The 24,082-nt window shown below is 48.7% G+C and overlaps 2 long non-coding RNA genes across 2 annotated transcripts in view, besides 1 other annotated feature; one reads left to right on the forward strand and one right to left on the reverse strand.

Annotated features, from left to right (window-relative positions):
* LINC01119 (long intergenic non-protein coding RNA 1119) overlaps nucleotides 1-22,882 on the forward strand; it is a 31,143-nt gene extending 8,261 nt beyond the window's left edge. The window contains exons 2-3 of the long non-coding RNA NR_024452.1: nucleotides 19,799-19,866; nucleotides 21,962-22,882. This is a non-coding gene — a long non-coding RNA (long intergenic non-protein coding RNA 1119). The remainder of the gene's footprint in view (nucleotides 1-19,798; nucleotides 19,867-21,961) is intronic.
* LOC107985880 (uncharacterized) lies at nucleotides 12,959-17,402 on the reverse strand. The gene is made up of 2 exons (XR_001739449.2): nucleotides 17,270-17,402; nucleotides 12,959-14,477 (listed from the first exon to the last, which is right to left on the reverse strand). It is a non-coding gene; the product is annotated as an uncharacterized LOC107985880 (long non-coding RNA).
* Nucleotides 13,686-13,980: an enhancer, noted in NCBI's record as "tiled region #12526; HepG2 Activating non-DNase unmatched - State 4:PromP, and K562 Activating DNase matched - State 5:Enh". NCBI's record gives its function as "activates a minimal TATA promoter and a strong SV40 promoter by Sharpr-MPRA in HepG2 and K562 cells {active_cell/tissue: HepG2 | K562}" and the evidence as "EXISTENCE:reporter gene assay evidence [ECO:0000049][PMID:27701403]".
* Nucleotides 22,883-24,082: the final 1,200 nt, after the last annotated feature.

Here is a 24,082-nt window from a genome sequence, read left to right on the forward strand (position 1 = left end):
CTTACCTGCGCTGACATGCTGCCTCCTCCAGCATCGCTTTCCTCACGGCACCTCAGCCTCCTCATATGTCAAATTGAGCTAATGGCCCTTATTGGTCTCTACTGCTGAGGGGTTACTTGAGCAAATGAAAGGTTCTGAAAAACCCATGGAAAAATCAAGAGGCAAGGTAGAGTCCCTATGGGCTGCTCAGTGTACTCCTCCCGCAGCTCTGGACACAGACGAAGCCTCTGTGTTAGCTCTGAGAGGCTTTTTGCTCCCCACCCCCAGCTCCCCAGGAGAGCCCTGCAGAGACTCTGTGAAGGCTCCTTGTCCCCGTGGCTCACCAGGCAGGAAGCCCGTGGCTTGGCTGAGGCCCCAGGAAGCGGAGTCTGGGAGGTGAACCGTACCTCAGGCCCAGCCGTGTTCAGCTTGGAGTAGCTTCTGAAGTCTCAGAGAGGGAGGGTGAGGAGGAACCTCAGAGGTCACTGGGCCACCCCATTTCACAGATGTAGAAGTTAAGGCACCGAGTGGAGAGCCCATTAGTGGCGGTGTCAGCACTTGGGCTGGGGGATCCTGGCTCCCGGCATACTTTCCACTTGGCCTCCGCTGCTACAGTGGCCTCTTTAGAAGGCTCCCTCTGATCCTTCTAGGAAATTCTCTGCAACCTGATGACATTTGAGCAAAACTGCATGATGTTGAAGGATCAGAGCACTTCTGAGAAGCAGAACAAAGCATTAAGAACAAGGTGTTCCCAAAAGAGGCATGATGGGGTCAGGAGGGAATTTCCTGAGAATAGGACTTTTCAGGGAAGGGAAAAAAGTGTTTTGAGCAGGAGCTTGGCTTTTTCAGAGCAGCTGGGAAAATGTGGGGGCAGCGGCTAGAGGCAGGCAAAGGTGGTAGGGAAATCTGACATCACCAACCCACCCTGCCAATTTAGCATTTAAAATTAAAGTTGCCTTCTCTCTTGGCACTTTTTTTTTCTTAACAGAAGCCATACTGCTGGGGTGTGAGGGGTAACAACGGTTGTCAACCCTGGCTGCACCTTAGAATCCACTGGGCTGCTCTTCCAAACCCAAGCCAATTACGCGGGAGTCTCTGGGTCAGGACCTGGGCATCAGTGGTTCTTAAAGCTCCCCGGGTGATTCTAATGAGCAGCCGAGGCCAAGTGCTTCCAGCCCCTGGATCATTTTGCCGTCTGACTTATGAATCTAAAACGGAGCAAATGTGTAATTCTGTTCGCCACTCACACTTGTCCAGGCCTTCTTCACAGGGAGGCCACAGGAAGAGACGGTGCCCTTCTCTCTCCTCCGCCAGGCTTATCTTACTCTCCTCAGGGCCCTGCCTAAGGCCCACCTCCATTCCAAACCAGAATTATTCCCGTCCTCCAAATCCCTACAGAGGTCAGATTGGGCCACCAATGTACCTAGGGCTCCTTGGCCAGCCTATGAATCTCCCCGGTGGCTGTTAAACAATGTCGGTTGTTATTTCTGTTTTCAGTCTTGCGCAGGTCATCCACCCAACTCGATGTGAGCTCTCTAAGGACTAGACCCCCATACCTTCGCCGGCCCTGGGCTGGCCAGGAGGCTTCAACTAAGACTAAGACTTGTTATCAGGGAGCTGAATATATTCGTTGCATCCACTTGAGTCACAAGTACACATTTAATTCTGAAAATGGCTCTGGGAGATTGGGACTATTTTTTTTTTAATGTCCATTTTATGCTGAGGAAAACGAAGCTCAACCAAGTAAATGGTTTGTATAAGGTCACAGAATGAGGAAGCGGCAATCTGCTGGGTCCATTGAGGTTCCTTTCCTACCACACAGCATTCTACTGCTATAGGGGAGTCCGCAGAGCAGGCAGAGCTGGGCTTAGGGGGAGCTCCAGAGGTCTCTCTCTTCAGGGAAGGTCTGGTCTGACCACCTGGGGAGGCCATCTGTGAAGGCTGCTTGGGCTCCAGTTCCTCAGGCCTTAGGAGAGGGTGTAACATCATGTTAAAACGGAAGTTTCCGCTGAGATGATAAGTTGCTAGGTATCAGCTCCCAGAGTCACTGGAGCAAAATGCAAATTTTATAAGGAAATATTTAAAAACTAGGTTTTTACAACTCTTGCAGCCCCACTTACGGCTGAGGATCAGGTTGTTGGAGATTAAGGGGGAAAGGAATTGTTTATTGAATACCATGTGCCTCTTCTTGCAGGAAAGACAGTGGAAGGCACCTGCCTCTCACAGTAAGTCTATGAGGGGAGCTTCATCAGAACTTCTCTGAAAGAGGAGTCAGGATCCCTGTACTATGGGGCCCCAGTGGACTGGTGCCTGACTTCCGCCTGAGAAATTTAGCTGGGACTACAGGCGCGCGCCACCATGGCCTGGCTGATTTTTGTGTTTTTAGTGGAGATGGGGTTTTGTATTTTTAGTGGAGACCAGGGAAGAGAAACTACTGAGTTTGAGAAACTTATGCTGTGAGATCCTCTTCTTTCTTCAACCAGAGGGAATTTTTACAGAGAAATCCATATTGGTCAGGCTGGTCTCGAACTCCTGACCTCAGCTGATCCACCTGCCTCGGCCTCCCAAAGTGCTGGGATTACAGATGTGAGCCGCTGCACCTGGCCTCCACCTGAGAAATCTAAAGGGCTGGTGATGGCGTGGCCGACCAGCTGCTCAGGGGATGAGCAGAAGGGGAGGCAGCTATGCTGAGTTTAGCTGAAAGCTCTTGAGTCTTCTGAGAGAGAGGATGCATGGAGGTGTCCCATGGGACCGATGAGAGCCCCAGGGTAGAGAGGGTCTGTTGTGGGTTGAATTGTGTCCCTGAAAAGATGTTCAAGTCCTAATTCCCAGTACCTGTGAATGGGACCTTATCTGGAAACAGGGTCTTTACAGAGATAATCGAGTTCAGATGAAGTTATATTAGATTAGGGCGGCCCAGTATCCAATGACTAGTGTCCTTATATGAAGAGGGAGACTTGAAGACATAGAGACAAAGGGACACAAAGAGATAGGAGAGAAGGCCATGTGATGACAGAGGCAGAGACCAAGTGATATGAGAACAGGCCAGGGAAGGCCAAGGATTGCCAGCAGCCAACAGAAGCTAGGAAGAGGAAGGAAGGATCCCTGCCTAGCACAAACCCGCTGACAGCCTCGGTCTGCCCTTTTCCTCCAAAGTCCTGCCCAGGCTCCTCTTGGATTGAAGAGTCCTGAGCCCAGCCTTGAACTGATAACTGCAGCCAGGGAGTGAAATGTGCTGATTTGCTGCCCCAGGAGCCGATGGGGTCAGCCCTGTCTAAAGAACAGGAGCTCAGCACAGGGGAAAGGGCAACTCCCCAAAGGAAAACTGAGGTGCTATTACCAGAAGCAGAAGAGCTGCCACTTAAACAAGCAAAATAACCCATGTCCCCACACCCTTCAGTACCAGGCCCATCAATCACCTTCTAAGCTTACATATATAATGCAGATAGGACATGAGAGAGATGGCAAAGGTTTAGATAAAATGCTGTGATAATTTAGAAACATGGGGGTTTTCCCATATGAAGAGTCAGGGACTGCCTCATGGAGGAAGTAGCTTATGAACTGGACTTTCAAGGAGGAGTGGAATTTTGTGTGTGTATCCGTGAGAGGAGGGCACTCCAAGCTGGGAAAACTATATGACCAAAGGTGTGGAGGAGCAAACTATAAATGGGGAAAAGTCAGTGGTTCCATGTAGCCAGAACACAGGCCCGGCAAGAGAAGCAGTGGTCTATGTGGTAGAAGAATGAGGTGGGGATCAGATCTTAGAGGGCCTCAGGTGCCAGGATAAAGATCTTGGATGGCAATGTATAGAAAGCAGAAAACCACTGAAGGTCAGATTCATGTAACTTAAAAAGAAAAAATTAAATGGAGCACAACCAGGTAAGAGGTTCCTGGAATGGTGTATGCAAAAAAACAAAGATAATCTGAATGCCCTGTTGGCACCTCCAACCCAGCTTGTCCACGATGGAAGCCGGCCTCATTTTTCCCCATCCCTACCTGTCTGCCTGTTTCCCCTGTCCTAGTGAGCAGCATGGGCATCCCCAAGAGTCACCCAGGACTCTTCCCTCTCCCGTATCCCCCACTGCAAGCTCATCTCCAAATCCTGCTGATTATTCCTTCCAGATATTTCTTGAATGTACTTGTCTTGTTCCTCCACAGCACTTACTCTTCAGCCACCATCATCTGTCACTTGGATGGCTCCAACAGCCTCCTACCTGGCCTCTCGCCTCCAGCCTGGCCCCCCTTCAGTCCTCCACACAGTAGGCAGGGTCCTCTGTTTAAGTTATAGCCAGCTGGGGACTCCCTGCCACCCCCCTTCAGAATCTGGTATTTAGCCCCACATCTTCCTGCTCCTGGATTTGGAACACACCAGCCATCCTGAGCTGCTTTCAATTCACGAAAGTAGTGTGACCCATCTCCCCTTTGGCCCTTTGCATGTGCTGTCGCCTCTGCTGCCCTCTCTTTTCCTCACTCCCTGGTTTTGGGGCTGGAGGGCTGTTCCTGGTAGAAAGGTTTTTTAGGAGGCTGGAGAACAAGAGAAAGAAGTTGGGAGAAAGCAGGGAACTCCCTGTGGTGGACACTCATCTCTCATCTGCCCTGCACTTTCCTTCTCCTGGGAGCAGTCACCACCCTCTTGTGGAGCTGCTCCTACACACAGAGGTGTGGTCCAATGGGCGCCTCCATCTTTTTTTTTAAATGGAGACAGGTTCTCACTATGTTGCCCAGGCTGGTCTTGAACTCCTGGGGAGACTCCATCTTTCGTGATCCTTCCTTCCTGTCCCAGTGATGGGTTGTGAGGCTGGCAATCTGACCTGACCCAGACTAGTCACATTCTTCCCAAAAATTGTTCTAAATTGAGCTAAGGAGAGAAGGCCTCTTTCCTTTTCGGGTGTAAGGCTGAAAGGACAGACTGTAGACCTCCATGCTGCTAGACATCCTGCCTTGTGGAAAAAGGTGGTATACAGAAAGGTGGTATACTGAAAATGACAGGCCAAAAGACAGGATCCTGACAAGGCTCAAGTCACTTCTAAGTTCCAGGGTGACTTGTTACTTCACCATCCCCTAGAGCAGTGCTTTTCAGGCTATCTGGAGGAAAAGCCAGATTTTTTTGCCCAATTTGTTATAAAGTAATAGTACTTCTGTGGAATACACTTAAAAACTTAAAAAAAAAAACCCAAACACAGTTTTATTTATTTAATTATTTGTTTATTTTTTGAGACCGGGCCTCACTCTGTCACCCAGGCTGGAGTGCAGTGGCACCATCACGGCTCATTGCAGCCTCAACCTCCTGGGCTCAAGTGATCCTCCCACCTCAGCCTCTCGAGTAGCTGGGACTATAGGCATGTACCACGATGCCTGGCTAATGTTTTTGTTTTTGTTTTTTTGTAGAAATGGGGTTTCACCATGTTGCCCAGGTTAGTCTCAAACTCCTGAGCTCAAGCAATCCACCCGCCTTGGCCTCCTAAAGTGCTGGGATTACAGGTGTGAGCCACCACGCCTGGCCCAAACACAGTTTTAAAATCCCATTTTTTTTCCTACTGTTATAGTCAATAGACCTAATATTAGTTTGTCAATTTGTTATGAAAGTTTGTAAACACTTCTTCTTGATTTCTGTACTCACCTGCTCATTGACTGTGTCGAGTAGCTAGTCCGTGGACCAGACTTTGAGTAGCCCTATCATAGAGGTTGTCATAGAGCTCCACCCTTGCTGGCACCAGCTCTGCATTTCAGCCTGCAGGAAGAGGAAGTTTAGGGCAAGCAAGTTCCTTTTAAAGAAGCAACACAGACCAGAGCGAGACTCTGTCTAAATAAATAAATAAGCAACACGGATGTTGTACATATCACTTTCATTCTATTCCATTGGTAAAAATGTAGTCACACTTAGCTGAAGGAAGGCTAGAAAATGTAGTCTCTTGTTGGGTGGACTTGAGCTATTACTAAAAAGACAAAGGAGAGATGGCTCATGGCAGACTATAGCTTCTGCCACTCACCCCTGCTAGCTGCCTCTAGGGCCTGGCTTTGTACTTAGGGGTGCTGGGGTCTTGGCTAGGTGAGAACTATAGAACACATCTACCACCCTACAGCAAACCATCCCAAAATTTAGTGGATTGAAGCAACAATTTTACTGGCTTGCAGTTTTGTAGGTCTGCAATTTGGCTGGGCTCAGTTGGTGGGTCTCCTGCTGGTCTTGCCTGGGGTCATTCATGCAGCTGTAATTATCTGGTGGTTTGACTAGGGCTGCCTGGTCAAAGATGTCCTCACATGTCTGGCAGTTGACTAGCTTAAGGCCTCAGTTCTCCATGTGGTCTCTCCAACAGGCTAGCTCAGGCTCATTCACATCATGGTCTCTACATTCTAACCACAGCCAAGGAGAGGGTGAACCCCATGCACAAGTACTTTCAAACCTCTATTTGCATCACCTTTGCTAACGTTCCCTCGGCCAAAATAAGTCACCTTGCCAAGTTCGTATTCAAGGGCAGGACAAATAACTTCACTGTTAGATGGGAAGAGCAGCAAAGTCACATTGCGAAGGGGCACATTATGCAGGAGGAATTATTGAGGCTATCTTCATAAAGTGTCTTCCACGGTAACCTCAGGCTGAGGCACCTTTATATAGGATGAGGCATGTCTGTCTGCCCTTGTTCTGGTCAGAATCTAGTGGCCCCAACAAAAAGACTTTGCAAGTGTCTCAGGGAACTTTTGAAGGTACACGTGGCCCTCCCATGTACCTGAAGGGCTGCCAGCAACCAAATCCATCCCTGGGAGCAGCCTGTCTCTCTGGTGGTCTTCAAGATCTCCCTTGCGGCGTCTCTTTCCTCGCTGTGTGTCTCCTCACTCTCCTCTCTGCTCATTGGTTTCTTCTATTTACATCCAGCACCTGCTCCCTCGCAATTTCTGCTTCCACTGGACACACACGGAAAGCACCTTTCACCTTCTGGCCCTGGTGCAAACTGGCTCAGGCTCTTCATGTTTCCCAGCTCCTGTTTCAGAAAGGATGACCCTGATCAACCCAGCTCCTACGCTCAGTCTACACCACATCACAGGAGGCTGGCCAGGCTATGGATGAGCCACCCTGAGCTTAGAGGCTCACAGCCCGTCCAGTCACCTGGGGAGGTGTGTGTGTGGAAGGGAACTGCAGTAGGTTGAATAATGACCCTCCCAGAAGATATGTCAACATACAAATCCTCAAAACCTGTGAATGTGGCCTTTTTGGGGAAAAAGGTCTTTGCAGATATAATTAAGAATCTTGAAACGGCATCATCCTGGATTATTAGGGTGGACCCTAATTCTAATAGCAAGTGTCCTTATGAGAGTCATGCAGAGGAGAAGACAGACACAGAAGAAGCCCATGTCATCAGAGGCAGAGGTTGGAATGATGCAGCAGCAAGCCGAAGAATGCCTGGAGCCACGGGAGGCTGGAAGAGGCAAGGAAGGATTCTTCCCCACAGCCTTCAGAGGAGCACTGCCCAGCCAACGCTGCCATTTCAGACTTCTGGCTTCCAGAACTGTGACAGGAAACATTTATGTTTGTTTTGTTTTGCTTTAACATTTTTTGTGGTGAAAAATACGTACATAATATTAGCCATTTGTAAGTGCAAAATTCAGTAACATTAATTACATTAACAAGGCTATGTACCCATCACCACTATCTTTTTCTTTATTCTTTTTATTTTTATTACATTATTATTATTATTTTGAGACAGAGTCTTGCTCTGTCACTCAGGCTGGAGTGCAGTGGCACAGTCTCAGCTCACTGCAACCTCTGCCTCCCGGGTTCAAGATTGTCATGTCTCAGCTTCCCGAGTGGCTGGGATTACAGGCACGTGCCACCATGCCTGGCTAATTTTTGTATTTTTAGTAGAGACAGGGTTTTGCTATGTTGGCCAAGATGGTCTCGAACTCCTGGCTTCAAGTGATTTACCCGCCTCAGCCTCCTCCCAAATTGCTGGGATTACAGATGTGAACCACCGCGCCTGGCCACCATTATTTTTTTTTTATCATCCCCAACATAAATTCTAGCCATTAAACAATACTCTCCCTTCTGTCTTCTCCCTGTCTCCTGGTAAACTTTATTCTGTTCTGTGTCTCTATGAATTTGACTACTCTAGCTACCTCATGTAAGTGGAATCATACAATATTTGTTCTTCTGTGTCTGGTTTATTTCACTAAGCATAATGTTTTCAAGATCAATCCATGTTGTGGCATATATCAAAATTCCATTCTTTTTAATTGGTCAATAGAATTCCACTGTATATATATACCACATTTGGGTTATCCATTCATCTGGTGATGAGCACTTGTATTGTTTCTACCTTTTGGCTACTGTGAATAATGCTGCTATAAACATTGGTTTACAGATATCTGTTTGAGTCCCAACTCTCAGTTCTTTTGCTTATATACCTAGGAGTGGAATTGCTGGACCTTATGGTAATTGTATGTTTAACATTTTGAAGAACCGCCAAACTGTTTTCCAAGCAGCAGCACCATTTTGCATTCCCACCAGCAATGTGCAAGGGATCCAGTTTCTGCACATTCTTGCTGACACCTGTTATTTCTCAGTTTTTTGCTTTGCATTGTTTTTGTTTTTATGGCCATCCTAGGAGGTAGAAGGTGGTATCTCATTGTGCCTCTGATTTTCATTTCCCTGATGACTGATGATATTGAGCCTATTTTCATGTGCTTATTGGCCATTTATATATCTTCCTTGGAGAAATGTCTATTCAAGTTCCTTTGCCCATTTTTGAATTAGGTTGTTTGTTTTCTTGGTTGTTAACTTCTGTTGCTTTAAGCCAACAAGTTTGTGGTAATCTGTGACACCAGCCCTAGAAAACAAATGCGTTGCCCAAAATCCAGCCTCCTGGGCAGCAGGACCCCACGGTCAGGCAATTTCTTCCAGAAGGCTGATTAGTCATACAGGTGGCATCAGCACCGACTTTATTCACCTGCCAGTGGATGAATTCTTCAGCTCTTCCCTTCCAAGGCCTGAGACCTGCAAGCCAAGAGGGCTTGAACACCAGTCTCCTCTTCAGTGTGCGCATGCACAACTCTTTCGAGAGGTTTGGAAGTAAAAAGAAGGAGTGGGATGGAGCAGCAGTTGAAGAGAGGGTTATAAGATCCCCTCTGTCTTATAAGGAGGTGTTGCTTTGTTTGATTGTTTGTCTTGAAAGGATGCGAAGACCTGAGTACTTGTAGAGGCTGAGAGAAGAAGCCAGGGGAGAGGGAGAGGGGACATGAAACATCACATCTGGATGCCAAGCACGTCTTCTTTCTGTCTCACTAATCGGAGTCATAGGAGCTTAGCCCTGAAAGGGACCTTAGAGTTTAGCTCCTTCATTTTGCAGATAGAGAGAGAGCAGGCACAGAAGAGGACCTGCCCGGGGTACTTCCGCAGCCAGCTGCTTGCTCCTGACATCCCCTATGTCTAGGACTTCATAGTGTGCCCTCTGGAAAGACAACTATTTTTTAACTGCCTTTTTCCATGTCTCCACAAGTTGTAAAATAGCTCTTCTATTTCTTCTCTGTTCCTATGCCCTTACCCGTCTTCCCAGGACACAATGGCATATGAACCCTTTGTTCCTGCCAAATGCAGCCGAGGAAGTGGGAAGGGCCTTTGGGTTGAGCGGACCAGGAGACTATACCCTGCCGATGGGGATGCTGCCAGGCTCGGCAGGCCTCCACTTCCCCTCTGCCTGTTCCTCTGTCTCCCGGGGTAGGGAAATCCTGGGATCTTTACTCCCCAGCATTCCTTTCCATCATGGTTCTAAGTTAGATTTTGGCAGTAAGATGCACTTGCACAAGCATCAGAAGCTGAAGGCGAGAGAAAGCCCTTCTCTGAATTGGCCTGGGCAGATGCGTGGTAGACGGTGGCTTTCAAACAAGCTCCTGCACGCTGTCTGCTTTCTGCTCTGGTGCTGCAGGCAATTGAAATGATCTCCATGCCTTCTCTGCAATCCTGGCACTTCCTGATTCTGTGGGGTCTGACAGTGACTTCCCTGATCTTCCCTAATGCAGCCCTTCCGTCCATTATGAATGCCTCTAAATCCCTTGTATTAAAACCCCGTGTATTTGGAATATCTAGAGCAGCTTCCAGTATTATAACCAAACCCTGACCGACACGCTGGCATAGATAAAGAAGCTACGTAAAATGATGTGTGGGGAAACATCCTGTTCAATCTTCCCGGCAGTGCTGAGGTTAGGCTGTCATTTTCCCAGTTTCATAGATTAGAAGCCTGAGGCTAAAGAGGTCAAGGTTGCCTGACTCCCAAGTCATTCTCTTTCTACTAGATCATTCTACTCTGCTTCTCTTGATAGATAGGGAGAAGCAGGCATAAGAGGGAAAGAGAAAAGCAGCAGGGGAGGACATGACAGAGATGGACAAAGGAAGAGGCAAGGAGAGACTCATTTGAAGTAGAAAGGGAGAGAGAGAAACCCCAAGGGTTCTGGAAAGTTGGAGAAACTTCTCATCACCTCTACTCAGACGGTGCTTTACAAGGTTACCCTTGCTCTTGGGCAATAGCAATTAGCCAAGTAACCACCGTTCACAGCCCTTTGCCTGTTCTTTATTCTCAGGCTTTTGAGACTGCAGTGTGAACAGAAGACACAACAACCCACGGAGTGAAGAATTCTCTGGGCTGCCCCAGCAATGCAGAGCAGTGTTCCCCTGGAGGGTGGATGAACTCAGGCAGAGGGGCAGCCCCAGCCCTGGGCTCAGGGGGAATGGGAATCAGGTTTGCCCTTGCACCCCAGGGTAGCTGGTGAAGGCTGTCTTGGATAATCTTCGGCCTCTCCCTTCCAGACTCTTCTTTAAGCATCCCCATCCCACCTTGGTATCCTAGTCCCTCTGCTACTCCCGTGCTTGCCTTCCTGGGACAGTGATAGTTGCAGTTCCTGCTGACTTGGAGTGCCCCTCCGCTCTGTGTCCTGTGAGAAAGCGGGTAGGTTGATGAGGGAGGGCAGGGGTGGGAAGCTGGAACCCTCCTACGTGACACCCTGTTCACGGTCCCTCTATGTGGACAGGAAAGGCCAGGCCAGAGTTGGGGGGATTAAAGGCAGTACATGAGATCTGGTCCATATCCCACAATAGCCTGGACAGGGGCCTCAGATTTCCTATAAGCCAATCCCTTTATTTTATTAACAAGGAAATCACGGCTCACAGAGGTGAGGGCAGGAGTCCAAGGCCATACCGTCTGCACACTGGCTCAGGTCCTGGCGCCCAGCCCAGCGCCCTTCCCTCACCTTCTCACTGCCTGGCAGCCCTGCACCTCCCCCAGCCCTGGCGCCCAGTGAGCCAGCACCTCGCATATGATTACAATTACCGTGAGTTTGGCCTGAGCCCAGCCGTACTGCGAGCACAACCAGGCCTGGTCACTGGCCAAGTTTCCATCTCAGTAGAAAAATGAAAAAGTTCAAGGGATGAATGTTAATCCCAAACACACGAGTAGGAAGGAGTGGGGTGAGGGGGAGAGGCCCAGCCAGGATCTCTTAGGGCAACATCAGTCCAGCAAGAGCTCCAGAGACCCACCCCAGGGGCAGAAGGCCTCTGGCTGGCCAAATTTAGGCTGCTTTGTGGTTGTAAATGCTGCCGCCTCCAGGGCCCGAGATGGAATTCAGCTGGTGAGACTTGGCTGGTGGTCCCAGCCCTCCTCGGTTGGCTCCTGCCTTGTGTATTGTTCATGACCTTCTTGTTTCTGTCATTTACTTGAGCATCTCCATCTCCTGCCATGGGTAAGGAAACAGGCACAGAGACCAAGGGACTCGCCTGAGGTCAGATAGCCACTGAGGAGTGGAATGGGCTGAAACATAGGCCTCTGGGCAGCCAGGCTGTCAGACAGCCCCTCTCCGTCAGAGCTCTCCAGAGCAGCCTGGGCCTTCCTAGGATGTTCCTGCTCCCTTCTGCCTGCCACTCTGCTCAGCGTCCGAGGAGCTACCTGGCTCTATCTGCCCCACACCTTGCTGCATGGCCTTGGTGAGGCTCTGAATTCCACCCTGGCTGCTGACTTGTGCCCTTCTAATGCTGACATCTCACATCTTTGAGGCTTCCAGGCTGATGTTTTTCCAGATCTTTCTCTCTAAGACTAAGATTCCTTTTTTTTCTCCCAGACTTGAAACATTTCTGAGTAATACAACTCTCCCAGATTGCTCAACTCCCAGGAACTCCTATCTGCAAACTGTGCTTGGTTCTAGTTTCAAGAAGGGCAGCAGCATATTGGAATTTTTGATCAATGATATATGGGCAGTTACCCTAATATGTATTTCCCCCAGGTTAGATAGATATGAGGACAGCCACTGCTCCTCTGCCTTGGGGACAAAGGAGTTATCATTTTGCTGGAACTCTAAGAACACCGTGTAATATTCTTATGGAGAAAAGCAGCCATCAATTAAATATCAGCTGTCAAATGGGGAAGAGCTGTGGCCCCATAGGGAACAACGGACTTTTTGATTGCTGGTATCCCCAGGGGAATCCACTTCCTCAGAAAATGAGTTCTGTCTGAGATAAATGTGCTTATTTACACCAGCTTCTAGACTGGCTGAGGTCGGCCCAGGGCCTGCAGCCAGGTATCTGAGCAATGGAGAGAGCTCCAGAGTGCAGCTTCTTGCCGACTTGGGGATTTATAGGCTTCCTGACAGGCAGAGCAGCCTCAGTTTCGAGGCTAGAAGCGGGGAGCCAGGGGGTTGGCCAAGGTTTTCTCAGAGGCTTTGCAAGAAGCTGAGCCCTTGTTGGAAATGCCTTTGAAGCCCAGGGGTGTCATCTTCCATCTCCTCTGGAGTCAGAGCCACAGCAGCAGGGCATTTTCGGGGGGAGTTGGGGAGAGTGGGAGAAGGGCATGTAGGCAGCGGGTAGGGGAGCAGAACGTGGAAAGAAAGCATTATTTCCAAACGGTCATCTCTCTCTTTTTTCTGCTTTCCAGTGGCCCAAATGATCACTCTGTGTTTAAGACAATCTGGTCTTTTAAAAAAAAATGAAGAAAGGAAAAGATGTTTTTCCAGGTCTAATTATAAGAGTCATAAGGCTGGAAAGATTTGGAGAAAACATCTGTCTCTCGGCTCTGCCTCCACTAGGTACACACCTAAGCCAAGGGGGAGGTGTTTTTCTATGACTAACCGGCTGGCGGACTCCTTGGGTCTCAGGGCACTCCCACCCTCAATCCATCCACAGTCCCATCGCTGGAGTTAAAGTCCACTTCTTCCTTTTAATCCTCATGGGAACTGGAAAGTGGCCAAGAGCCTGGAAGAGCCAGTGATTTGGGTCCTCCTGGAATGTTAGGGAAAGCAGGTTGGGGGTCTCTGTCTGTCACCCCAGGGCACCTAGTCTTTAAAACCTGTGCTGCCCCAAGAAAGGGCAAGTCTCAGAGCCAGGGCTGCCCAAAGGTCTTCTGTCCCCAGCAGGAGTGGACTGAATAGCGTGCCCCTGGGAGGTTTGTCTTCCTAAGCAGATCCAATCGGTCTTCTTGTTCTGATGAAGTAAAACAGAGTGGATATCCCTTGAGTTAGTGCTGGTGGGAGGAAGTTTGGGGATGGAGAAAGAGTCTCATTCTCTCCCCCACCTGTCAAAACTACAAATCTCCAATTCTCTAAGGTGAGGTGGGGGTCGGGGAGGGAACAGGCAGGTGTCTGGCAGGAGTGGCTGGCCTCCAAGGGTCCCTCCAGCTCTGACTAGCTTTGTGCTCTAAGCCAGGCCCTGGTAGGACCCCTGTTCCCTTGCTGCAAGCCTCTCCTTGCTCCCACGGCTGTTCACGGCCCTGACTGCTGAAGATGACATTTTCTAAACACTGGAGACAGAGATAAGAAGCAGACGGGGAGGGAGAAAGCCCGAGAACTGGAGCTGAGCCCAGAGAGGAAAGTGGGCTCCTTGCTGAGAGCAGGCGGAGGCATGCAGACCCTGCCGCCAATGAACACGCAGGCAGGGACCTCTCGCCATTGCTTTGACACAGTGCTGAGTCAGGGTCCAACGCCACCACTAGAGCCTGACCCCTTGGTCCAGCCGGTTGTTCACTGGTCAAAACACATGCTCCCTGAGCAGCCTCCTTGCAGGCACCACCCCACCCTCTGAGGACTCCTTCATTTATACCCAGAAAGGCAGAATGGGATGGAGCTTCATGAAGTGCTGTTCACTGCTATGCCCTGGTCCCTAGATGAGGTCTGACACGTGGCTTTGTGGCACTAGGTAAATATCTATAGAAAAAATAACTTGCTGTATTAGTCTTCCTGGAATGAGCTGGCATTTGAGCTGGGACCAGTTTCCTGGAGAAGGGATTTCAGGAAAAGCAACCAGGTATCCCTCAAAGCAAACACAGAGAGGCTTGATTAGGTACAGATGGCTTGCATGGGGGAATTTGGGTGAGCTGTGCTCTTAAACCTGTCTGGGTGTTTTCGGGGAAGCCATATAACAGTAACAACAACAATAAAACCAGCGCTACCTTTATGCAGAGAGGGAGGGGCTCTTCTGACAGGGCCTCCTGAGAGTGGTCTCAAGGTCACTTCCGGGCTTCCTTGGATCCCTGAAAAAGAACCAGACCAGCCTGGCCTGCTTCTCTGCATCCCAGGGTCCCCAGAAAAGTGAGGGCTGTTTGGGGGTCCTGGGTCAGATCCTCATCCAACTCCTACCCCCTTGAACTCCCACCTCCAAAGGCAATCTAATAGCTCCTGCTGGGATCTCAAGCTCCAAGGGAGACCTTCATACCACGCACATTCTGGGACAATCTTTGGTTCTCCTCTCAGCCTGGACAAGCAGTGAAATACAGCATCCAGCCACTGCCTGGCTCAGTCAGCCATGCTATCTTGGGACAGAAACCTTGACAGGAATCCCAGCTCTAGCCAAGGAAAACATGAGTCAGGCCTGGCTAAGCCAGGTGGCTTCCCTCTCTCCACCTTCCATCCCCACACCCCCAACTCCACAGCCAATGAGCTGTTTGGGTAACCCCAAGACCCCACTCCCACACAGCCTACGGCCAGCAAAGGCATGCAGGCAGGATTCTAGAACCTTGGCCCGGCTTTGGGTTGCTGCCTTTGAAAGTGTAGCAGGTGTGGGGCTCTAGCTCCGGCCCTCCTCAAAGGAGACAGGAGCATTCCCTGTGTCTTTCCGGCCTTCCACCTACCCTGGCCTTCTCTGCACAGGGTTCCCTTTTGGGGCACTGTGATTGTTCTCAAAGGCAGAGCCCACCCTGGCCAGGAGTGGCACAAGATTCTTATCCCACTTGTAGTAGAAGACTTTTCCTGATTCCTCTTCCCAGCCTATCCAGGGGCTTCCGTTCTCCTGCCGGTCTCACCTCAGGCTGAAATGTTGATATTTCCTCGTGTCTGGGGACACTGCTGCTGGACTTTGTGGAAAAACCTTTCCTGCCTTTGTGTGGCTTCTGTTTTGTTTGTTTGTTTATGTATTTATGTATTTATTTATTTTGAAACATAGTCTCACTCTGTCACCCAGGCTGGAGTGCAGTGGCGTGATCTCAGCTCACTGTAGCCTCCGCCTTTGGGTTGAAGCCGTTCTCCTGCCTCAGCCTCCCGAGTAGCTTGGGTTACAGGTACCCGCCACCACGCCCAGCTAATTTTTGTATTTATAGTAGAAATGGGGTTTCACCATGTTGGCCAGGCTGGTCTTGAACTCCTGACCTCAAGTGATCCACCCACCTCGGCCTGGGTGCTGGGATTACAGGCGTGAGCCACCGTGCCTGGCCAGGGCTTCTGTTTTAAAAGCTTCTCCACTCTCTCTTCTCCAGAGGAAGAGGTGCAGGGTCTCACACACAGGGACCTCAGAGTCCCTTGTTTTGTACACTGTAGAACAGCGTTGTCTAATAGAAATATACAGCAAGCCATAAATAAGTCACCCATGCAACCTAGTGTTTTCTAATCACCATATTTTGTAAGAAGTAAAAAAAAAAAAGTGAGATTCATTTTAATACTATATTTTATTTAATCCAATATATTTGTATTAACCCAAATGAATATTATCAAATCAATCATTTAATTCACATAAAAAATTACTAATGAGAAATTTCACATTGTTTTTCCATACTAAGTATATTGCTTCCTAGGGCTGCTGTAATTATCACAAACTGGGTGGCTTTAAACAACAGACATGTATTGTCCCGCAGTTCTGGAGGCCAAAAGTCAGAAATCACGGTGTCAACAGAGCCATGCTCCCTCTGAAGACTCCAGGGAACGTGAAAGCAAAGTAAAAACTTGGGAGCCCAGGCCGGGCATGGTGTCTCACGCCTGTAATCCCAACACTCTGGGAGGCCAAGGCAGGGGGATTGCTTGAGTTCAGGAGTTCACGACCAGCCTGGGGAACATAGCAAAACCCCGTCTCTACGAAAAATACAAAAATTAGCCAGGTGTGGTAGTATGCACCTGTGGTCCCAGTTACTCAGGAGGCTGAGGTGGGAGGATCACTCGAGCCCAGAAGGTTGACACTGCAGTGAGTTGAGATTGCACCACTGCACTCTAGCCAGGGTGACAGAGTGAGACCCTGAAAAAAAAAAAAAAAAAAGCAAGAAAGCAAGTAAGCAAGCAAGCAAGAAAGAATGAACAAACTTGGGACCCCAATTCACTCTGCCAAAGAAAAGAAAAACTTGGGACCCCAATTCACCCTGCTAAAAGAAAAACATATTAAGCTGAAAGCTGAGTCATAGAAGAAGCTGCCTTCTTTTTTTTTTTCCTGAGCAGATAGCTACAGATAAAAAGTAAAATATCTCCACAGTAGCTACTCTGTGTTCACCTTATCTAATGGTGAGCTTGAGAGGAATACATAATTGACCATTCCCCTACCTACTCCTTTTCTCTTGCAACACATGGATTCAGTTATGTGACCTCTTTTCCCTTGAGCCTGCTTTTCTCCTTTAAATATTGAGGCCCTCAGAATCATCCTTGGAGAAAGGCACCGACCTGTCTCCTAGGCATGTGTCCTTAACCTTGGCAAAATAAACCTCTGCATTGATTGATACCTGACTCAGGCACTTTTTGGTTTACGGGAAGCACCCCTCCGTGCCTCCTCCCAGCTTGGGTTGGTGCTGGCAATCCCTGGCTTTCCTTGGCTTGTAGCTGCATCATTCCCACCTCTGCCTTCATCACCACATGGCCTTCCTCCTCCCGCGTGTGTGTCTGTGTCTTTACATGGACTTAGAGAACGGTCATTGGATTTATAACCAGCCAAACCCAGTAAAATCTTATCTAATTACATCTGCAAAGACCCTATTTCCAAATAAAGTCACATGCTGAAGTTCCAGGTGGACAAGAGTTTTAGAGGGGCACTATTCGCCCAGTACAATGTTGGGGGCAGTGACCACTCACCCACCTGATATTTGGCTCCCAAGATCCTGTTCCTGTCGGCTGTTTTCTTTGTTGTCTTTGTTCTTTATTTTCATTCTGGCAGGCCTTGGGGTAGGATCAAAGGTAAAAAGAAGCAGGTGAGATTAATTTTAATAATATTGTTTATTTGACCCAATATATCCACAATATTATTTCAATGTGCAATCAGTACAGAGAATTATTAATGAGATATTCTTCATTTTTTTTCACATCAAGTCTTCAGAATTTTATATGTATTTCACATGTACACCACATGCCAGTTTAGACTGACCACATTTCAAGTGCTCGACAACCACATGGGGCCAGTGGCCACCATATTGGACAGCACAGCTCAGGAAGTTAAAAGAAAGGGGTGAGGCTTCTGACAAAGCCAAGGACCCCTCTGGGGAGGCCGGTGGATCCCAAGGAATGGTATTCACCTGATGGCCTCACCCCCTCTAGGTTCTCTCCTGATTATATTTCATCCGTGAGAGGTGGTCTCACGGTGATGAAGGGAGGAATTCATGCAACATTAGCTCACACTGTATCAAACCAGAAGGATGATACGGTTTGGCTGTGTCCCCACCCAAATCTCATCTTTAATTGTAACTTCCACAATTCCCGTGTGTTGCGGGAGGAACCTGGTAGGAGGTGATTGAATTATGGGGGCCGTTCTTTCCTGCCCTGTTCTCATGATAGTGAATGAATCTCACAAGATCTGATGGTTTTTAAAATGGGAGTTTCCCTGCACAAGCTCTCTTTGCCTGCTGCAATCCACATAAGATGTGACTTGCTCCTCCTTGCCTTCCACCATGATTGTGAGGCTTCCCCAGCTACGTGGAACTGTAAGTCCATTAAACCTCTTTCCTTTGTGAATTTCCTTTGTGAATACCCATTCTTGGGTATTTCTTTATCAGCAGTGTGAAAACGGACTAATACAGTGGCTTTGTTCATTCACAGGAAAAGTGGTGAGCAGCTGGCTGCTCTCTCGTCCCTACATGCAGTCCCTCCCTTTCCTGTAGGCACAATGCTTAAGGAGCCAGGCCTGGGCTTCTGGGCTCAGAACCAGAGCCTTTCCTTACTGAGTGCAAATGATTGAAAATCTCAGGCTACAAAAGTGGGAGGCATGCACCTCCCCAACAGAGACATGCCATTGCCAGTGGGGACACTGGAATCCCTTTCCCCAGGCAGTGTGGGATGGGTGTGGCCGTGTGCCTAGGACTGGCTCTTTTCTACTTCTCTGCTGCAGACCTGACCCCTTCTGACTGGCATCTTTTCCTTTAGATACGCAGGTCTCACTGGCCTGGGCCCCATTCTGTCTCTTTTTAGCATGGCTTGGCCTTTGTCTGCTTTGATTTCTATGTGTCAATTTTATGGTCAAACTCCCAAAAAGCAACCTCATTCCTCTAGGGAATGGGCTCCCTCAGTTTGCTCCCTTGAAATACCTGCGATTCTTTATTCTCCTGAACCCTGCTCTACAACCTCTGTATTTTTCTGAGAAAAATCAGAAATAACCAGAACCCAGACCTGGAAGCTAGACCCCAGACATAGGTCATCCACCTCTCGGGCTCTGGGGCCTGCTCAGGATGTGCATGCTGGGGAGTGGAGCACCCTCTCCATGGGCTGGCCTGTCCTCAGGCCCCACAACAGACAGTGGTCCTGAGCCGGGACAGCAGGATGACAAAGGCTCACATTTGCACTCTGGAGCAAAAACATCACCGGATGGAAATTGAAGTAGAGAGAAAAAGAATGAGTATAGGGGATGAGGAATCTCTGATGTTAACTCAGGGGTACCATCAGTCCCCTAAAGCTGCAAATAATGTGAATCAATCCCTCTCTCTCTCTCTGTCTCTCACTCACACACACACACACACACACACACACACACACACACACACACACACACACTTATCTTGAGAGCCTTCCAATTTTTTTCTGCAATGCACGGACCTCACAAAAAAATGACTCAGCCTTACATAAGAGACGGGAATTTGAGGGGGACCAGGAGTGTGATGACTCATTGCCTTGAAATTTCCAGTGGGATACACATGTTTTCTTAGATGATTTTTTAAACATTTATCTTTAATGATTGTCCAAAATAAATGGTTGGGGAGGCAGAATGGAGTGAGAATCCCACGTCAGGGCAGGAAAGAATAGTCATGATGAAGAGGAGGGGGCAGGAGGCTGAGGACAGGGCCCTTTCAGGTCAGGTCTCAGAATGTTCTGGTGAGAATCCAGAACTCTCCTCCCAGGACCTCAGGGCATTTCAGGAACTGTAATAATACAATCACTTCGTATAGCAAGAATCAGCCCCTGAGGTCTCCAGGAAGTACCTTGATTTGAAAGAGCTGTGACCAACCTCAGTGGCATGTCCAACTACCACGCTGCAGAAGTCTGTGAGGCCGTGGTCCTCAGCCCTTTGCACAGATTAAAACCCCAATCCCAGCCGCACCCCAGACCAATCAATCAGGATCTCTGGAGATGGGGCCCAGGCATCTATATATATGTATATATATATATTTTTTTAATTCCTCAGATGATTCCAATGTACAGCCAATGATGAGCAGCTGCTGGGCTGAAGGGACTGGGGCCATTTTATACCAGGTGAGTAATTCAAGGTGTTGATGTCACCCTGCTCCTTAGAGGACTATTAGCCAATCCCTTGAGTTTCAGATACAACCAGTTATCCCTCTCCAGGGAGCTTGAAATTTTTTTCTCCCTTTTCTGTTATTGGCAAAAAGCAAATCCCTGCATGGAAGCCTGGTGTCTACATAGAGCTGACAAGGGGGCAGCTTGGGGAAGGTGGGCTAGGCTTTGGGAGCGAGTGGGCCCCTCCAAGGAGAAGGCCCTTGGATTCATCTACAGGAAGCCCAGAGTTCTCTGACACCAACCCAACTCTCCCACACCATGCCCTGCCTAGAGGCCCAAGGACTCCAGCAGGATCGTACCAGTGATCCACTGTCAGGGCAGTCCAGCCTATGCCATCCATGGCTCCGCTGGCAACAGGATAAAGTCAAGGGCTTCATGCTGGCACTTAAGGTTATACCCAATCTTCCTTCAACTTTCCTCTCTCCCCAATGCACATGGACCCTGCCCCACCAGGCTGCCCCCCTCCCTGCCCCAAATGCCCAGCAGGTTCCTACTTTCAGACTTTAGTCACACCCAACATTCTCTGGTTTACCAATGTACAAAGGTCTTCATGCATCTCCTGTGGAATGCAAATCCCCCTGGCAAGAAAACCCTCGTGTCAGCCCATACCTCGGGGGGATCTACTGGAGACTGGGTGGAGGTGCAGAGAACAGGTCCTGGGCCCCAAGGGGAGGTGAGAGAAGGAGGCTGAAAGCATCCTGGACACAATTCATCCCCGCGGCCTCAGCCTCACCCCCAGACTCCTGGAGCCTGGGCCTGACTTCTGTGTGTGGCCGCTTGATGCCTGGCACTACCTGTCCCATTACCTGCTGACCTCCACAGGCACGTTCTGCCCTCCTCACCTTTGTGTGAGAACTTAGCCTCCCCTCCAAGAGCTGCCGAAAGGGGGCTGGTAACTGGGCCATATCTGTCCACACTGTCACATACTGACTTTATGTCTGAAGGAAGGGGGTTTCATCTCCCTGAGCCTCCACTTCTTCCACTATAAAACAGAAAAACAGAATTGTAAAAGCACTAGCCGCAGAGATTTGCAGGATGAGGGTGGCCTCATTAATCCAACACTCTAGTTAACTCTCATATCTATGTCAACAATTTTCAAAGGATTATTATAAAGCAAGGACCATCTTTGATAATCGTGATCAAAGATTTCTAGGATCTTAGGGCAATGTTTCTTAAAGTCTATTCCATGGCTCTTGAGCTTTGTGAGATGTTAATTGGTGTTTTATATACATTAAAACTAATAAGTTTGGGAAATATTGGATTTTAAAAGTGAATATATTTAACTTTGGGAGGCCAAAACAGGCAGATCACTTGAGGCCAGGAGTTCGAGACCAGCTTAGCCAACATGGCAAAACCCCGTCTCCTTTAAAAACACAAAAATTGGCCGGGTACAGTGGCTCACACCTATAATCCCAGCACTTTGGGAGGCTGAAGCAGGTGAATCACATGAGGTCAGGAGTTCAAGACCAGCCTGGGAAACGTAGTGAAACCCTGCCTCTTCTAAAAATACAAAAATTAGCTGGGTGTAGTAGTGCATGCCTGTAATCCCAGCTACTCAGGAGGCTGAGACAGAAGAATCGCTTGAATCCAAGAGGCAGATGTTGCAGTGAGCCAAGATTGCACCACTGTACTCCAGCCTGAGCAACAGAACGAGACTCTGTCTCAAAAACAAAAATTAGCTGAGTGTGGTGGCGCATGCCTGTAATCCCAGCTACTCAGGAGACTGAGGTGGGAGAATTGGTTGAACCGGAGGTAGAGGTTGCAGTAAGCTGAGATCGCACCATTGTACTCCAGCCTGGGTGACAGAGTGAGACTCTGTCTCAAAAAAAAAAAAAAAAAAAAAGAATATGTTTATACATGATTCTGAGACTTCACTAAATGCATTAATGGTGGGTAAAGTGTTTTCCAAACTTCCTTGACCACTCAACACCTTTTTAGGGGAGGATACCACGTGACTGGTGTTTGTGCCAGACTTTGGGGAATTCCGCCTTTGTCAGGCTCAACACAACAAGGGTTTTCATTGCTCACTGTCTTGTTACATGAGTTGTAGGATGTTACACAGAAATGCCTGAAAAGCAAGGAGCAGCTATCAGAATGTTTGGTGACACAGCTCCTCCTGTCGTGGTTCCTTCGGCATGGACTTCACATTCAGCAGATCCATGAGGTGTTCCCTTTCGGATGAGCTCCAAGGTCTTAAGAGAGCATCTCTAGTCTGCGTGAGTCCGTCTGAACGACGGTCCTGAGCAAGAACCACCTATAACCATCTGCTCAAAATAACTCAGGGGAAGTCAAAGCTTTCTATGTGGAAGGTGACTGAAACCACATACACAGACCACTGCAGCATTCCTGACATTATGGAACTTGGAAATGATTCCAAACATGGCCATAGCTTGAGTAACATGTTTTGCTATGACAAGAACTTGGACTGTAGTCCTTCCCCCTCTCAAGAATGTGACATCACACCTTATCAGATCCTACGAGTGAGCTACTGACCTCAACCACTGAACTTCAAACTATGTAAAAACCTAAGGGTTCGACAGACACTTTGAGAGCTTGGGCTGTGGCAAGCTACACTCTGTCAGCCTCTCTTCGACAGGGCCCCACCCTGCTAGCCTTTGAACTTGGAAGCATCGCCCACAAACACCAGTGCCACCCTCTAGCCTTGAGGGACCATATATGTCTCTGTGAATCTCCGTTGCATTGGACAGCTTCTCTCCCAAGAGCTGCTCTTATAAAAGAGACACACCACATTTTAATGAGGCTTCGCTCTCCACAGAGGCCTGCTTCCATCCTAATTGAGCAAGTAGACTTTAGTAACTTTGGAACTCACTCACCCCGTGACTAATACACCCTGTCTACCCAGCGCATTCCCTGTGAGATTTGTTCATGTTGTTCTCCCCCTCCTTAAGCATTGTGAACCTAGGAAAAATATCATCTCTGTAGGGCAATAAACCATGTGATTTGTGAAATCATACTTTGAGCATCTCCTAATTTTAACCATACACAATGCCTGAGAACTGGGAAATGAAGAAAGGAGGAATTGGATCTAAAAATGTGTTTAACAAAGTATAAACGCCATAGATATCCAACAACAGGGTGCCTGGACAGATAAACAGAGGCAGGCTACCTCTTCCAAATGTCATAGACTACACAATACATAGAAAGAGGGTCATGGGATTATATGAGGTAAAAAGAGGCCATAATGCGGAAGGAGGAGAATCGCTGGTTTACAAGACGGTGCAGAGTCTCCCACAGAGAGCATCTGTTTGGCCCAGTACTAGGAGGCCTCTTTGGTGTGAAATGTGAAGCCCCCAGGGAATGGCCCTGATGGGCTAAAATGTGAAGAAGGGGGATGGCTACTGAATTAAAAGAAGTAGCAGGAATTTGAGAGACTGGGGGCTGGCAGCTGGAGGAGGCAGGAGCTGCCCAGTAGGACATCCAGGCATCGAGCAAGTGTCTGTGAAGGAGCATTCATGGAGGATTCCTCACGCCAGAGTCTTGGAGGTGCGGGACGTTGTGTTTTAGTCATTTGCTCTATTATCACATAAAGTCATGCCCCTCTTGACCTTCATGCCTTTAGTAAGTGACCAGGGCAGAATCTCCTGGCGAGGGAGAGCTGAACTGGGGGTGGCCCCCAGCCCCACCTCATGGAAATCCTCAGAGCAGCCTGGACGGCTAACATACCTGGGTGTCAGGCAGGGCCAGCAGGAAACAGCACCACTCAGAGTGGATGAGTGAGCAGAGTTACGGAGGGACCATTTTACAAAGGTATGGGTGGGCTTGGGGGAAACCAGACGCAGTGCAGTCCTCAGAGGTGGGAAAGCTCAGCACCGTTAATTCCACCTGGCTGGGGGCAGGTGGGGAAAGAGAGAAAGTGGTAGGGGCAAGGGAGCTGGGATGCTGCCTGACAAAGCTGTGACCTTCTGTCATAGGACACAGCCGGTCCTCAGTGACCCCAGAAGGAGGAAGGAGGGAGGTGATGTTATGGGGCTGAATTGTTCCCCCAAAACCCATATGTGGAAGCCATAACCCCCAGTACTTCACAATGTGACTGTGTTTGAAAATGGAGCTTAGACAGAAATGAATAAGTTAAAAATTGAGGCCCTCATCCAATCTGACTGGTGTCATTGGAAGAAGAGGTAATCCAGACATACTAAGAGACACCAGGGTC

This window comes from Homo sapiens, chromosome 2 (genome assembly GCF_000001405.40).
Source record: "Homo sapiens chromosome 2, GRCh38.p14 Primary Assembly".
Classification (NCBI taxonomy): domain Eukaryota; kingdom Metazoa; phylum Chordata; class Mammalia; order Primates; family Hominidae; genus Homo; species Homo sapiens.